At 39.1% G+C, this 15,989-nt stretch overlaps 1 long non-coding RNA gene across 3 annotated transcripts in view; it reads right to left on the bottom strand.

Moving 5' to 3' along the window:
* The window catches only part of LOC107984006 (uncharacterized), a 52,131-nt gene continuing 41,541 nt past the window's right edge, over positions 5,400–15,989 (bottom strand). For all 3 annotated transcript variants that reach the window (XR_007061501.1, XR_007061502.1, XR_007061503.1), the window contains exon 4: positions 5,400–6,685. This is a non-coding gene — a long non-coding RNA (uncharacterized LOC107984006). The remainder of the gene's footprint in view (positions 6,686–15,989) is intronic.

Below are 15,989 nucleotides of genomic sequence, written 5' to 3'. Positions count from 1 at the left end.
AAACTCAGTCAGGTTTGGAAAGTCATCGGGAGATTTTCCTAGAGGAGGCCAGGGAGGTTCCTCTGAACGCTAAGCCTCTTTCGCCCTCATCCCCAACAGAAAAGACGTGACAATGCCTGTCCTGACTGAATAAAGAAGAGAGATAAGTCCAGCTGAGGAGTCTGTGTTATGGGATAATCGGAATTTGTACAGCAAAAGAGAAGCTATTCTCAGTATTTCAAGGAGAAATTATTCAAGTTGAATAAATTAGAGTCTAAACCACAGTCTTTCCGAAGCCTATGGAGTGTTATTCATGAAGCAGGTACTAGACACAGGGGATTCTCAGGTGCTACTTCAGAAGCCAGGATGCACCTGCCCCTGGTGGTATGTGCTGAACACCGTGTGATGATCCTCAGTCCTGTCTGGGAAGCCCAGGGCTGGGGGTGCTGATGCTCTCAGCTGCCTGCAGCACATCTCCAGGTGATTCTCCAGTCCACACCTAACTGCATGTGTTTTACTTCAGGTGTCAGTGTACATGAATCCACCACTCTGACTTCCCAATCTCATGACAGTAATTAGTTGTAACTTATCGTAACCTCATGGAGCAACTCTAAAGAAACCTAGAGAGAAAAGGAGTTTTGGAAAATGTGCTCCCGGAAGTGATAGTAATGATGGGGAATTGACAGCTGACGGGGAAGTAAGGTGACTCTTTCCACAAGGCTCAACATTTTGCCAGTTATGAATTGTTGTAAAATACATTTGAATGTGCTTTCAAGTACTACCAGTTTGGGGTCATAGCTGAAAAACTTTATTAAGTCACAGATAAAATGGGAAAATCAGGAATATTTTATATTGTATGAAATATACAATAACACTGTGTGTGATGGCTCAGGTCTGTAATCCTGTGATAGTTAATACTGATTGTCAACTTGATTACATTGAAGGATGTAAGCATTGCTCCTGGGTGTGTCTGTGAGGGTGTTGCCAAAGGAGATTAATATTTGAGTCAGTAGTCTGGGGAAGGCAGACCCCTACTTAATCTATGGGCACCATTTAATCAGCTGCCAGTGAATATAAAGCAGGCAGAAAAAAGTGAAAAATTGAGTCTGGCCCAGCCTCCCAGCCTACATCTCTCTCCCGTGCTGGATGCTTCCTACCCTTGAACATCGGACTCCAAGTTCTTTAGTTTTGAGGCTCGAGCTAGCTCTCCTTACTCCTCACTCCTCATGCCTGCAGACAGCCTACTGTGGGACCTTGTGATCCTGTAAGTTAATATGTAATAAACCCATATATATATATATAGAACTTATTAGTTCTGTCCCTCTAGAGAACCCTCATTAATACAGATTTTGGTACCAGGAATGGTTCTGCAGGATCAGAATATTAAGGTTGGAGTTCTTTTGTTGGTTTTGGGGTTTCTGGATTTGGCTGCTAAATATGATTAGATCCCAAAATGCTAAGGACTCTACTTTTAATAGTGTAGAGAATATTGACAGTTCTTGGCATGAAAGGTTTAAAGAGCTACGCAAAACAAATTCATTTGACACTAATGAATCATCGCTCATGAGAGGCAAGGAGTTTAGTGACTCTGTACCTAATACCCTTGACAAACACCTTGCAAAATAGATTTGTGAGGACAGCACCTGCATCTTTGAAGAGCCCTGTAAAGGCTCTTCTCTGTATGTCAGATCTAATGGTGAGAACTGCAGTCACTCAGTTACAAAAGTTAAATACAATTTGGAATAATTGGATCCTGAAGTGGCAGGGGCCAAGTGGTAGCACTCAACCCTCAAAGGCACGGTGGGCATAGCTACCGTAATGGGCAGAAAAGACAAAGCAGCAATCTGAACAGTCTGACTCATGTAGAGCTCTGGCATTGGCTAACTAATCACAGTGTTCCTGGAAGTGAAACTGACAGGAAGACTAATGCATTCCTACTTAATTTATGTAAGGAGGAAACTTAAGGTCAAACAGATAAAAGACTAACTGGAATCATAAAAACAGAGATTCATGGCCCCTCAATCAATTTCCAGCCTTGAGCCAGTTTACAGACCCAGAACCCCTTGAATGAAGGGGAGGCTGGGTCCCCCTGAGGTGTCCATGGCAGATAGGAATGCTGCTTTGAGGCTTTGGCAGGCCTCCATAGGTGAATCATGGTGGAGGCCTCTAGTATTTTGCAGCAAGGCCCGGTCATCTTCTCCAGTTAACTACTCTCCTTTTGAGAGACAGCTCTTGTCCTATACTGGGCTTTTGTGGAAACTGAACATTTGACTATGAGTCAACAAGTCACTATGCGACCTGAACTGCCTATCGTGAACTGGGTGCTTTCTGACTCATGTAGCCATAAAGTGGGTCATGCACAGCAGCATTCCATCATCAAATGGAAATGGTGTATAAGTGATTGGGCTCAAGCAGGTCCTGGGGGGCACAAGTAAGTTACATGAGGAAGTGGCTCAAATGCCCATGGTCTCTACTCCTGCCACCCTGCCTTCTCTCCCATGGCCTGCACTGATGACCTCATGGGGACTTGCCTTTGAGCAGTTGACACAGGAAGGGAGGACTAGGGCCTGGTTCACAGATGGTTCTCCACAATAGGCAGGTACTGCCCAAAAGTGGACAGCTGAAGCACTACAGCCCCTTTCTAGGACATCCCTGAAGGACAGTGGTGAAGGACAATCTTCCCAGTGGGCAGAACATTGAGCAGTGCACCTGATTGTGCACTTTGCATGGAAGGAGAAATTTCAGATGTGCGGTTATATACTGATTCATGGGCTGTAGCCAATGGTTTGGCTGGATGGTCAGGGACTTGGAAGAAGCATGATTGGAAAATTGGTGACAAAGAAACTTGGAGAAAGAGTATGTAGATGGACCTCTCTGAGTGGTCAAAAACTGAAGATATTTGTACCCTGTGTGAGTGTTGACCAACAAGTGACTTCAGCAGAGGAGGATTTTGATAATCAAGTGGATAAGATGACCCGTTCTGTGGATACCACTCAGCCTCTTTCCTCAGACACCCCTGTCATTGTCCAATAAGCCCATGATCATAGTGGCCATGGTGGCAGGGATGGAGGTTATGCATGGATTCAGCAATGTGGACTTCCACTCACCAAGGCTGAACTGTCTGTGGCCACTGCTGAGTGCCCAATTTGCCAGCAGCAGCAGAGACTAACAGTGAACCCTTTGTATGGCATCATTTCCTGGGGTGATCGACCAGCTACCCGGTAGCAGGTTGATCATATTGGAACTCTTCCACCATGGAAAGGAGAGAGGTTTGTCCTCATTGGAACAGGCACTTACTCAGGATATGGGTTTGCCTACCTGCATGCAATGCTTCTGCCAAGACTACCATTTATGGACTCAAGGAATGCCTTATCCACTATCACGGTATTCCACACAGCATTACCTTTGACCAAGCACTCACTTTACAGGTAAAGAAGTGAGGCAGTGGGCTCATGCTCACGGAATTCACTGGTCTTACCATATTCCCCATCTTCCTGAAGCAGCTGGATTGATAGAATGGTGGGACGGCCTTTTGAGGTCGCGATTACAGCATCAACTAGGTTGCAATACTTTGCCGGGCCGGGGCACCATACTCCAGAAGACCATGTGTGCTCTGAATCAGCGCCCAATGTATGGTATTGTTTCTCCCATAGCCAGGATTCACAGATCCAGGATTCAAGGGGTGGATGTGAAAGTGGAACCACTCACTATGATGCACTAGCAAAATGTTTGCTTTCTGTTCCCACGACATTAGGTTCTGCTTTACTAGTCATCTTAACTCCAGAGGGAAGAACGCTGCTACCAGGAGACACAATAACGATTCCATTAAACTGGAAGTTAAGATGGCCACTTGGATGCTTTGGGGTCCTCCTACCTTTAAGTCAACAAGCTAAGAATGGAGTTACAGTGTTGGCGGCAGTGATTGACCCAGACTATCAAGATGAAGTCAGTCCGCTACTCCACAATGGAAGTGAGGAAGAGTATGCATGGAATATAGGAGATCCATTAGGGCGTCTCTTGGTATTATCATGCACTCTGATTAAGGTAAATGGGAAACTATACCCAATCCAGGTAGGACTACAAACGGTCCAGATCCTCTCCGGGTCACAACCTGCTGAGGTGCTTGCTGAAGGCAAAGGGAATACAGAATGAATAGTGGAATAAAGTAGTTATCAATACCAGCTACAACCACCTGACCAGCTGCAGAAATGAGGACTGGAACTATCATGAGTATTTCCTTCTTTTGTTAAAAACATGTTTGTGCATGTATGCACTTGTACTAAGAAAATATCTTCATTTCATTTCCCTTTTCTTTATCAGGTGACATAGATTTGCTGACCTCATATCAGCATTTAAGTATTGTTTACTTTATGTAAGAGTATTTGGGTTGGGGATGGGTGCATTTCCAGTTGTAGGAAGGATAGTTTATTATGTTAGGGGTAATTATGACCTTACTATTGTCTGTATTTTAAGATTATGTATGATCTCAGGAGATGTGTGTGGGTTCAAGTTCACAAGGGGTGGGCTTGTGATGGTTAATAATGAGTGTCAACTTGATTGGATTGAAGGATGTAAAGTATTCATCCTGGGTGTGTCTGTGAGGGTGTTGCCAAAAAAAATTAACATGTGAGTCAGTGGGCTGGGAAAGGCAGACCCACCCTTAATCTTTGTGGGCACAATCCAATCAGCTGCCAACCCAGCCATACTATAAGCAGGCAGAAAAATGTGAAAAGAGACGGGCCTCACCTCCCAGCCTACATCTTTCTCCCATGCTGGATGCTTCTTGCCCTCGAACATGGACTCCAAGTTCTTCAGTTTTGGAACTCTGGCTGGCTCTTTTTGCTCCTCATCCAGCAGATGGCCTATTGTGAGACTTGGTGATTGTGTGAGTTAATACTTAATAAACTTCCTGTATTAGCCAGTGACATCTAGAGGGACAGAACTAACAGGATATATACATATATATATACATACGCACACACATACATATATATGCGCACACACACACACACACACACATATATATTTATTTATAAAGGGGAGTTTATTAACTTACAGGATCATAAGTTACACAGTGGGCTGTCTGCAAACTGATGAGAAAGGAGAGCCATGGAGTCCAATGTTTGAGGGCAGGAAGAAACCAGCATGGGAGAAAGATGTAGGCTGGGAAGCTAGGCCAGTCTCTCCTTTTCAAATTTTTCTGCCTGCTTTATATTTGCTGGCAGCAGATTAGATTGTGCCCACCAGATTAAGGGTGGGTCTGCCTTCCCCAGCCCACTGACTCAAATGTTAATCTCTTTTGGCAACACTCTCACAGACACACCCTGGATCAATACTTCATATCCCTCAATCCTATCAAGTTGACACTCATTATTAACCATCTCACTCCCCTTCATATATATATATGTATATAGTCCTTTAATTCTGTCAGTCTAGAGAACCCTGACTAATACATCTACACTTCTGATGATCTATTTCTTTTATTTTAGGTCATTTATTTCCCCTGGGTTGCCTACACTCGCTTCTTCCCACTCCCCTATGAAGGATAATATAAGCTTCTGGACCTCACTAGGTCAGGGCATGTCCCTGCTTGCACTATCCATGACACTTTCCTCTTTTACTCTTTAGCAATGAGGGAATGTCATCCTTACCCAGATGCCAGCCACCTGTCTCACATCCAGGACAGAGAGTCTCCATCTCCCCTCCAGCAAATACCCATGTATGTGGGCATGGTGGCATGCCCCTGTGATCCCAGCTACTCCATAGGCTTAGGGGGGAGAATCACTTGTGCTTGAGAATTCAAGGTTGCAAGGAGCCATGATCACACCACTGCACTTCATGCTGGGTAACTGAGTGAGACCCTGTGATTTTTCCCCTACATTTTACAGAATTTTTTTTTGCCTCTTTCTTCTATTAATTTATGTTTTGTCCATTCATTTTCTGCAAACCTTCAGAGGGCAAATAGGAAGTTTCCCTTTTTAACGTGGTGGCTCACGCCTGTAATCCCAGCACTTTGGGAGGCCGAGGTGAGCAGATCACCTGAGGTTGGGAGTTCGAGACTAGCCTGACCAACATAGAGAAACCCCGCCTCCACTAAAAAAAATACAAAATTAGCAGGGTGTGGTGGTGTGCACCTGTGATCCCAGCTACTCAGGAGGCTGAGGCAAGAGAATTGTTTGGACCTGGGAGGCGGAGGTTGCAGTGAGCCCAGATTGTGCCACTACACTCCAGCCTGGGTGACAAGAGCGAAACTCCGTCTCAAAAAAAAAAAAGAAACAAAAACAAACAAAGAAAAAAACACCTACTGCCTCACTGAATTAAAGGTGTGTTCAGCAGTTTCTTTGTTATTTCGAAGAGTGTCATCTGCTTCAGCAGGGTCAGTTTTTAATGTATTTGTTTTGTTTCTTTTTTCTCTGTCTGGTGTTGTTTTCTATTTTATTATAATTTTTTAAATTTGAGGGATGAGGTTTTCATAGCACTGAATATCAAACAATGAATCCGCATGAATGATTCACCTAATTTCCTTGGTTTTAGTCCTCTATACAGGTTTTATATAGCAAAAGAACCATTTAAAGACTTGGGTTACAAATGTATTTTATTTTACCTCTGGCATGCCTTGGGCTGAGAAAGCATTATATGGTGGCGCAGTATTTGTAACATTCTCATAGCCATCTGGCGGTGGTTCAAGGTATGACACTTTGAAAATCTAGCAAGAATTAAAATATGTCAAGTTAGAGATAAAAATTCCAGATTATTATTAAGATATAATTCATTTTGCCCCAAGTATATACTTCAGATTAAGCATCCTGGAACTAGGTTCTATAATTAAATAGATAAATTACACTGACAACAATGAGAAAGAGCCTTATCATTATTATTGTCTTCCTAATAATAGAAACTTTTATAAATGCATGCAATCCCAGGTAACCAAAAGTTTCCTTATAAAGTGTAACAGCAGAGCTTCAAAGGTGGCATTTGGCAAGCCTCTTTTTTTGACTATGCCTTTTCAGCTTCCTTTGTGGGTTCCTTTTCTCTCATCTTTATTTAAATAATATTTCCCTATGTTTTATCCCCAGCCCATTGCTTGCCTCTGTACTGCCTCCCTGCGATACTTCATTAAGTATCAGAATTTTACCAATAGCTCATATGCTTATGATGCTTACCTTTTCAGATTCGTATATTTAAATGTTTTGTGATTATTTCATCCTGGATGTCCAAACTCAACATGTTAAAATTCAAATTTATCATCTCTCACCCCGGGCCTGCTTTTGGTCTGCATTTCCTACCTCTATTAATAGCTTCAGTTATTAGCCACCGACACCAGACAGTCTCGGAGTCATCCTGAACTCTATCTTCCCCTCCTTCCCCAAGTCAATCACTAATCAAGTCCTGCTAATACATTTCCTTACTATTTCTGAAATCCATCCCTCTTCCTCATTCCTACTAACATCCTAATTTAAAACTTTATTATCTTTTACCTGGACTATTGTCTTAAGACAACAACTTTAACCCGTTGCTTAGCCTAGGTGTAATCCACAGAGGATCTTGTCTGTCTAAGATGCCCCTCTAGCCACATCCTTCCCCTGCTCAGATCTTGTCATTGGCTCCCATGAACTGAAGTTGAAGTTTAAGCTCCTTAGGACAGCATACACGCCCTTCTATGATCTGTTCCCAGAACATATTTACTGGTTTATCTCATATCATGGCCCACTTTGTATTTTACACTTTTGAAATACAGAAAATCATTACATTCTCCCAATAATACTAAGCTAGTATATGCCTAAAAGCCTTTGCCAATATTTTGTCTTTTGTTGAGAATTCTCTTAGCTTATTTTGTCACGTGGTTAACTCCTTATGTCCTTTCACGACTCACATGTCAAGACTTCAGGAAACCTTCTCTAACTCCCAGGCTGGGCTGAGTGACCCTTTTCTGGGTAAATAATGAACTCTAATCATACTCTTCATAGCACTTACCATACTAATTTGAAGTCTGAAGTATTCCATTTTCTGCCTCAGTTTACTTAGGCAAAGGAACCATGTCCTAGTCTCATTCTGGCCTCAGGACTTCAGCCTGGGCGACAGTGGGAGACTGTGTGTCAAAAAAAAAAATTGCCAATGATTGAAGCCTAATACTGAAGATTGTGGTTTATTAATAATTAGTCTGTTGCTGGGTGTTAATTGAGCTCTCCAAGTGATTACTCATGTAGGACTTCAAAACGATAATTTAGAACCTTGTGACTAAAAATCTGGGCAAAAATAAGCAGCATCAGTATCACCTGGGAGCAGCTTCAGGTCTCACTTTAGATTTACTCTGAATCTAAATATTATATTTTTATTAAAAAAATTAAGAACAGATGACAATCTTCAACTACATCTAAATTCTTTAGATTTACTTTAAAAGAATCAACATTTTGACACAATACCAAAGTGAACTAAATTCGCTTTTTTTTTTTTTTTTTTTTGAGACAGAGTCTTGCTCTGTTGCCCAGGCTGGAGCGCAGTGGTGCAATCTCGGCTCACTGCAACTTCCACCTCTCCAGTTCAAGCGATTATCTTACCTCGGCCTCCAAAGTAGCTGGGATTACAGGCACATGCCATCATGCCCGGCTAATTTTTGTATTTTTAGTAGAGACAGGGTTTCACAATGTTGGGTCAGCTGGTCTCGAACTCCTGACCTCAAGTGATCTGCCTGCCTCGGCCTTCCAAAGTGCTGAGATTATAGACATGGGCCACCATGCCCAGCCTAAATTTGCTTTAATTTGGAGAAGTACTGGTCTAGAAAACACAAATTCCAAGGAGACTCAGGTTCTTAAGTTGATTTCTTGAGTACAAGTTCTTCAAATGCATTCTCCAAGATTAATTTTTTTTTTTACTTTTTAAATTGACAAAGATTATACATATTCATGGCTATACGGGGATGTTTCAGTACATGTAGATGGTGATCAGATCAGGGTAATTAGCATATCTATCATCTCAAACATTTATTATTTCTTTGTGTTGGGAACATTCAAACTACTCCTAGGTATTTTAAACTACATAATATAGTATTGTTAACTATAGTCATCTACAGTACTATAGAACACTAGAACTTATTACTCCTACCTAGCTGTAATGTTGTATCCATTAACAAATCTCTTACCATTCCTCCTTTCTCCCTACCCTTTTCAGCCTGCAGTATCCTCTGTTCTACTTTTTACTTCTATGAGATCAACTTTTCTTTAGCTTCTGCGTGAGTGAGAACATGTGGTGTTGAAATTTCTATTCCTGGCTTATTTTGCTTAACATAATATCCTCCAGTTCCATCCATGTTGCTGAGAATGACAGGGTTTTATTTATTCTTTTTTATGGCTAAATAGCATTCCTTGGTGTATATATACCGTATTTTAAAAATCCATTCATCTGTTGTTGGAAACCTAGGTTGATTCCATATCTTGGCTATTGTGAACACTGTTGCAATAAACATGGGGTTGCAGATGTCTCTGCAATATAATGCTTTTCTTTCCTTTGGATAAGTTCCCAGTAGTGGGATTGCTTGAGGTGTTTCAATACTGTTCTCCATACTGGCTGCTCTAATTTACATTCCTACCAACAGTGCATAAGAGTTCCTTTTTCTCCAGCTACTCAGGAGGCTGAGGGAGGAGAACTATTTGAACCCTAGAAGCAGAGGGAGCCAGATTACACCACCACTGCACTCCAGCCTGGACGGAGAGTGAGATTCTGTCAAAAAAAAAAGTCCCTTTTCTTCACGTCTTTGTCAGCATTTGTTATTTTTGTCTCTTCTATAATAGCCATCCTAACTGGAGTAAGATGATGCCTCACTGTGGCTTTGATTAGCATTTCCTTGCTGATTAGTGGTGTTGAACATTTTTTCATATATTTGTTGGTCATTTGTATGTCTTCTTTTGAGAAATGTCTGTTCAGAGCATTTGTTTATATTTAATTAGATTGTTGTGCTTCTTTGCTGTTGATATGTTTGAATTCCTTGTATATTCTTGATATTAATTTCCTGCCAGATGAGTTTATACTTTCTCCCATTCTGTAGGTTGTCTTTTCACTCACTTTCTTATTTCCTTTGCTGTGCAGAAGATTTTTAGCTTGATGTGATCCTATTTGTTTATTTTTTCTTTTGTTGCCTGTGCTTTTGATGCCTTATTCATAAAATATTTTCCCAGAGCAATGTCCTGAAGGATCTCCCCTATGTTTTCTTCTAGTAGCTTTACCATTTTGGGTCTTATATTTGGGTATTTGAGATACTTTGAGTTGATCTTTGTATAGGGTGAGAGGCAGAGGTCTAGTTTCATTCTTCTGCATATGGATATCCAGTTTTTCCAGCACCATTTATTGAAGAGACTATCCTTTCCCCAATGAGTGTTCTTGGCATCTTTGTAAAAAATCCGTTGGCTGAGATATGTGGATTTTCTGGGTTCTTTATTCTATTCCATAGGTCTATGTGTCTGTTTTTATGCCAATACCATGATGTTTTGGTTACTACAGTTTTGTAGTGTATTCTGAAGTCTGGTAGCATGATACATCCAGCTTTGTTCTTTTTGCTTAGGATGGCTTTGGCTATTCAGGATACTTTTTGATTCCATAAAATCTCTTTGGATTTTTTTTTAATTTTGTGAAGAATGTTCATAGGTATTTTGATAGAGATTGCATTGAATCTGTAGGTTGCTTTTGAGTAGTACTGTCACTTTAACAACATTCATATTTCTGATCCATGAGTATGAATGTCTTTTCATTTGTTTGTATCCTCTTCAATTTCTTTCATTAGTGTTTTGTAGTTTTCATTTTACCTCCTTGGTTACATTTATGTCTGGGTTTTTTTTTTTTTTGGTAACTATTGTAAATGGGTTTGCCTTCTTAATTTCTTTTTCAGCAAGTTTGTTGTTCATATATATAAATGCAACCAATCTTCGTGTATTAGTTTTGTGTCTTGCAACTTCACTGAATTTGTTTGTTCTAAAAGTTTTCTGGTAGTCTTCAGGTTTTCCTATATATAACATCATGTCATCTGCAAATAGGAACAATTTGATGTCCTCCTTTCCGATTTGAATGCCCTTTATTTCTTTCTCTTGTCTAATTACTCTTGATAGGACTTCACATTTATATACTTTGAATATTTAAAATGTTTACATAAATGTCAGAATCAACTTTCATTTTTCATAGAAAAAGAAGATCCTACTTGTTTTGTAGTTTTAATATTAATCAATTATTATTATCTGAGACAAATTATTAACAAACCATCTATTAAAATATTTCACCACAAATAAATTCCATAAGGAAAATATCTACAACTGTTTTTATGAAAGAAAAAAAGGCTTCTCTACAGTTGCTTAGGCCTGGTGCCATGGCACACACCTATAAATCCCAGCGCTGTGGGAGGCCATGGCAAGAGGATCCTTTGAGCCCAGGAGTTTGAGACCAGCATGGACAACAAAGTGAGACCTCATCTCTACAAAAAATAAAAAAGAAATTAGCTGGCCATGGTGGTGCGTGCCTGTGGTCCTAGCTACTCGAGAGGCTGAGGAAGGAGGATCACTTGAGCCAGGGAGGTGGAGGTTTCACTGAACCATATTCACGCCACTCCACTCCAGCCTGGGCAACAGAGCTAGACCTTGTCTCAAAAAATTAAGTTAGTTAAATTAAACATAAAGTTGCATTGTACTTAAGAAATTGGGAAAGCAGAAAATGCTTCTGTTTTTCTTTTGAGTTGAACAATGAGAACACATGGACACAGGGAGGGGAACATCACATACCGGGGCTTGTCAGGGGGGTGGGAGGCTAGGGGAGTGATAGCATTAGGAGAAATACCTAATGTAGATGATGGGTTGACGGGTGCAGTAAACCACCATGGCATGTGTATACCTATGTAACAAACCTCCACGTTCTGTACATGTATCTCAGAACTTAAAATGTAATAATAACAATAATAAAAACCTCAAAAAAAGGAAATGCTTCTTCTTAGAACAGATTACATACCCTCATTGCTTTTTATAATAGCCTGTAATAACAGAATATCCACAAGGTGGCAGTAATATATCAGTTTCATCCTCTGAAATTAAAACTTTTGCCTATTCAGTAATACAATGGATCTTTTGAACTCACTCTAACACGTAGAATACAGCAATTTGACTTAATAATTAGCCTTTAAATTTATAGTCTTGTATTATCACTTTAGTAGATTATTTTGTATTTTAATATATTTAAATGAATTAGTCCTATAGAAATTGACTAATTTGACATGTGAAGGTGTTTTTATTCTATTTTCAGAAGTTTAGCTTTAAAAAAATTTCTAAACTTCGATATCTGGTGAGTGTCAATGTTTTTATCTTATTAAAAGCTGACAGACCACACTATATTCAACTGATTTTTTTTTTAACAAGGATGCAAAATCAGTTTAAAGGAAGGATATCTTTTTCAACAAATGGTGCTACAGCAATTGGACATTCACAGGTACAAAAACTAAGACTGACCTAAATTTATACTTTATATAAAATTTAGCTCACATAAATCACAGGCTTAAATGTAAAATGTAATATTATAAAACTTAAAGTTGTGTATGGTAGCTCGTGCCTGTAATCCCAGCTACTACTCAAGTGGCTGAGGTGGAAGCATCACTTCAATCCAGCAGTTAGTGGCTGCAGTGAGCAATGATGGCACCACTGCACTACAGTTTGGGCGAAACCTCGTCTCAAAAATAATTAATAAATAAATAAATTCACTAAACTTTTTAAAATAAAAGAAAACTCTTGAGACCTTGGGCTAGGCAAAGAATTTTTAGGCTTGATATTAAAAACAAAATCTACAAAAGGAAAAAGTGATAAAACTGGACTTCATTAGAATAAATAAACACTTTTTTTTTTTTTTTTTTTACTTAGAAAGACCCTGTAAAGAGGTTGAAAAAATGAATTACAGACTGGGAGAAATAATTTCATACCATATATCTGACAAAGAACTTACATCTAGCATATGTAAAAAATTCTCAAAACTCAATAGTAATAAGATACCAATTAGAAAATAGGCATATGTGACCTCTCTGTATTATAACTTAAACCTCATGTGACTACAATTATTTCAAATGAAATAAACAAAACAGTAATGCCTGTTTCTGGCATATAAAATAATCAGAGAACATAGAATTGTACGAAGTTAAATTATTGGGCCATTTACTTAATTTAAATATTTTTAAATGCGTGTACCCATTTTGCTTGAAGGTGTGTGCAAGTATGCTTGTATTTTTTTAACGATAATATGGTCACATGAGCATTAAATTTATTTTTTAAAAGTTTATAGTTACCCCACACAAGTTCTTATTGATTCCCTCATTCTTAACACCTGCATAGTATTTCATTTTATAATTAATGGATTGTAGGTTTATTCTTTTAAAATCACTTGTGTTGTTCTCATTTTTTTTTTCACTAAAAAGTGTTGCAATGCACAAAACTAAAAATATAAGGAGGGTCTTTTCTGGATCTCTGTTGAAAAACTTTGAATAAAAATTACAAGTTCAAATCACATGCAAAATAAACATTTTAATTAATCGGGCTTTTATGCAAGATGTTAGTAGCAGTAGCAGCACAGTTTTATTAAGATCCCTGAATCTCTCACAAAAACTGACTGAGCAACTGGGATAACAAGGTATTAACTACGACAAAACAATGTAACAGGGTGTCATCATGGACGTTTTGTGAGGTTAAACCACAGGGACCCAGGGGAATCACCAATTTTTTTGGAAGAAGGAAAGGAAAGGAAAAAAATGTTTAATGGCCCTGGGAACTGGAAAACCTAGAAATACAAGCGCTAACATCTATGTTCCTAAATTCAGAGATTCTTACTAGGCAAAAAGAACTCAGCAGATTAATCTGAGAACAGCAGCTGAGGCTGGCAGAAGGCTTCCTGGGCCTCAACTCATAGCTGAGAGTGAGGGTGGCAAAAAGCAGTGCTGTGAGTGGTCTGTTTCCTATGAACCCTACAAATTAACCACCCCCAAAACAAAGCCCTGTCCTAAGGAGAAACTGCAGGAAGTCAATTATAAATTGAGTTGGGAAGCACACTGAGGCTCAAGAAAAGGGAAGCTCCAGGTTAAGATGCAAGAGAAGGGAAAAGGCAGTTTTCTGCAAGTTCAAGCACAAATAATTTCTTTACCTTCTAGTTCTGGAAATACCAGGTGCTGTGTATGTAAAGCAGGAATTTTGGTTGAATATTATATAATTTTCTGACCCACTGTTACTAATCCAGTTTCCCCTGTACTCAGATCTTCCATACTACAGACAGACCTGACAGATGCTCAGCAAATAGTAGCTAATATTTTCTAGGAAACTATGTGCTAAACGAGTTTTCTTAAATTTCTACCTCCAGGTCTGTAAGTTGATTTGAAGCATTACCAGTTTCTGGTTCTGCACAGGTTGTTGAGCGCAGGACTTCTCTCCTCCAGTGGAAAGTCCACCTGCTCACAATCAACCATCCTTTCCTGCAGCCTTGGAGACACTACTCAGTGTAGCACGCCTCCCAGTCTAGAATAGGCACACTCATCATCAGTCTCTCTCATTTTCTGTCTTATCTCCATTCCATCTACGTACAGTTTTTGTTTTCGCCAATGTTTTTAAATAAACAATTGTACAAGCACGACGACAACAGAAACCTTCCTTCCCCCAGTGTTGTAGTGAGCAAGGAATATATTTAACTTCAAATAAAAGACAAGAACAAATGCTGGATAAAGCTGACAGAAAGAAATGCAACTGTAGGTGCTCTGGCAATATAGAAATGATACAACTAAGAAAAATGGAAGAAAAGGAAAGAGAAAGTATTCCTCAGAATGATTTTACTGACTGCTCATCTGTAATGCCTGGGAGTCAAAGGATATTGTTTATAGAAATGTAAGCATACTTAATGGCACCAGGGGAAACAAAGTTAATATGATTAAATCAAATTGTGGGATGAAAAATCACATAGGGAGGACAAGAAAGAGAATACAGCTAATACCATTGTTCTTAGTTTAGAGACATTAGCTACTGTCTAAAGAAAGAGATGATTTTATGAAATTACATAAGGTAGCCATCAGAATAAAAGTTTAACTCTTCCAAATATCACAACATCAAAACAAAAGCAATAAAAACAAACAAGACAGCAAAAGACAGATATGTGCATATAAATCATAGCATAATATACTGTAATCAAAATATAACCAAACACAATTTATCATTAAAAGTAAGTGGGCTTGACTCTTATTAGAGGAAAAAAATATTGTCAGATTAAATCAAAAAGCAAATCTCAATTCTATGCTGGATATAAGATAAGGTGTTACAGAAAGTTTAGAAATAAAAGTATAGGCAATGAATAAAAGGATCTTCTCTTCATGCGTTAGGAGTATAAAACAGTAAGTAAACACATCATATGTTTTCTGTTTTTACACTTAAATGGCTGGAGATGTTACACCACTAGTATGAATTTACTTCAGATATATAAAGGATACACTTTTATGTGGTTAGAAACAGCAATGATAATAGGTAAGGTGAAAATAACTTCTGCATTGAGGCTAGGAAGAAAGAGCCATTGTTGGGTACATAGTGATCGTATTACCATGGAGCAATCTGTTCCCAACTGAAATGTCCTTGACCTTCTAATGAAATCATGTAAGATTCTGCAAAAGTAGTGTTTGCTTCCCACAAATCAGCCATTTGTGGGAATGGCTGCTATTGTTGTCCACACGGAATGAGCATCAGACCTATATTTAGCTGTTGTTTCATTAAGGGTCGTATTTGGCCCTTTCCAGAGGCTGTTATTTCAATTATATTTTGGAGAATTAGTCTATTTCCTGACAAATAATTTTTCCAGAACTTTGATCCATATGAAATGTCCCTTTGGTAGGGATCCAGGGATTGAGTTTATTTTTAATTACTGTAGCATCCTGGTCAGGTTGAGAAACAGATTACCTTTATATTTCCCTGGCATGTAAGCAGGGCTAGATTTAGCGTGAGAATGCTTGAAAGTTTATAGTTTTTTAGAAA

The sequence above is a fragment of the Homo sapiens genome, chromosome 9 (genome assembly GCF_000001405.40).
Source record: "Homo sapiens chromosome 9, GRCh38.p14 Primary Assembly".
Classification (NCBI taxonomy): domain Eukaryota; kingdom Metazoa; phylum Chordata; class Mammalia; order Primates; family Hominidae; genus Homo; species Homo sapiens.
Note: the sequence above shows the minus strand (reverse complement) of the source record. Positions and strands in the feature narration are given on the sequence as shown.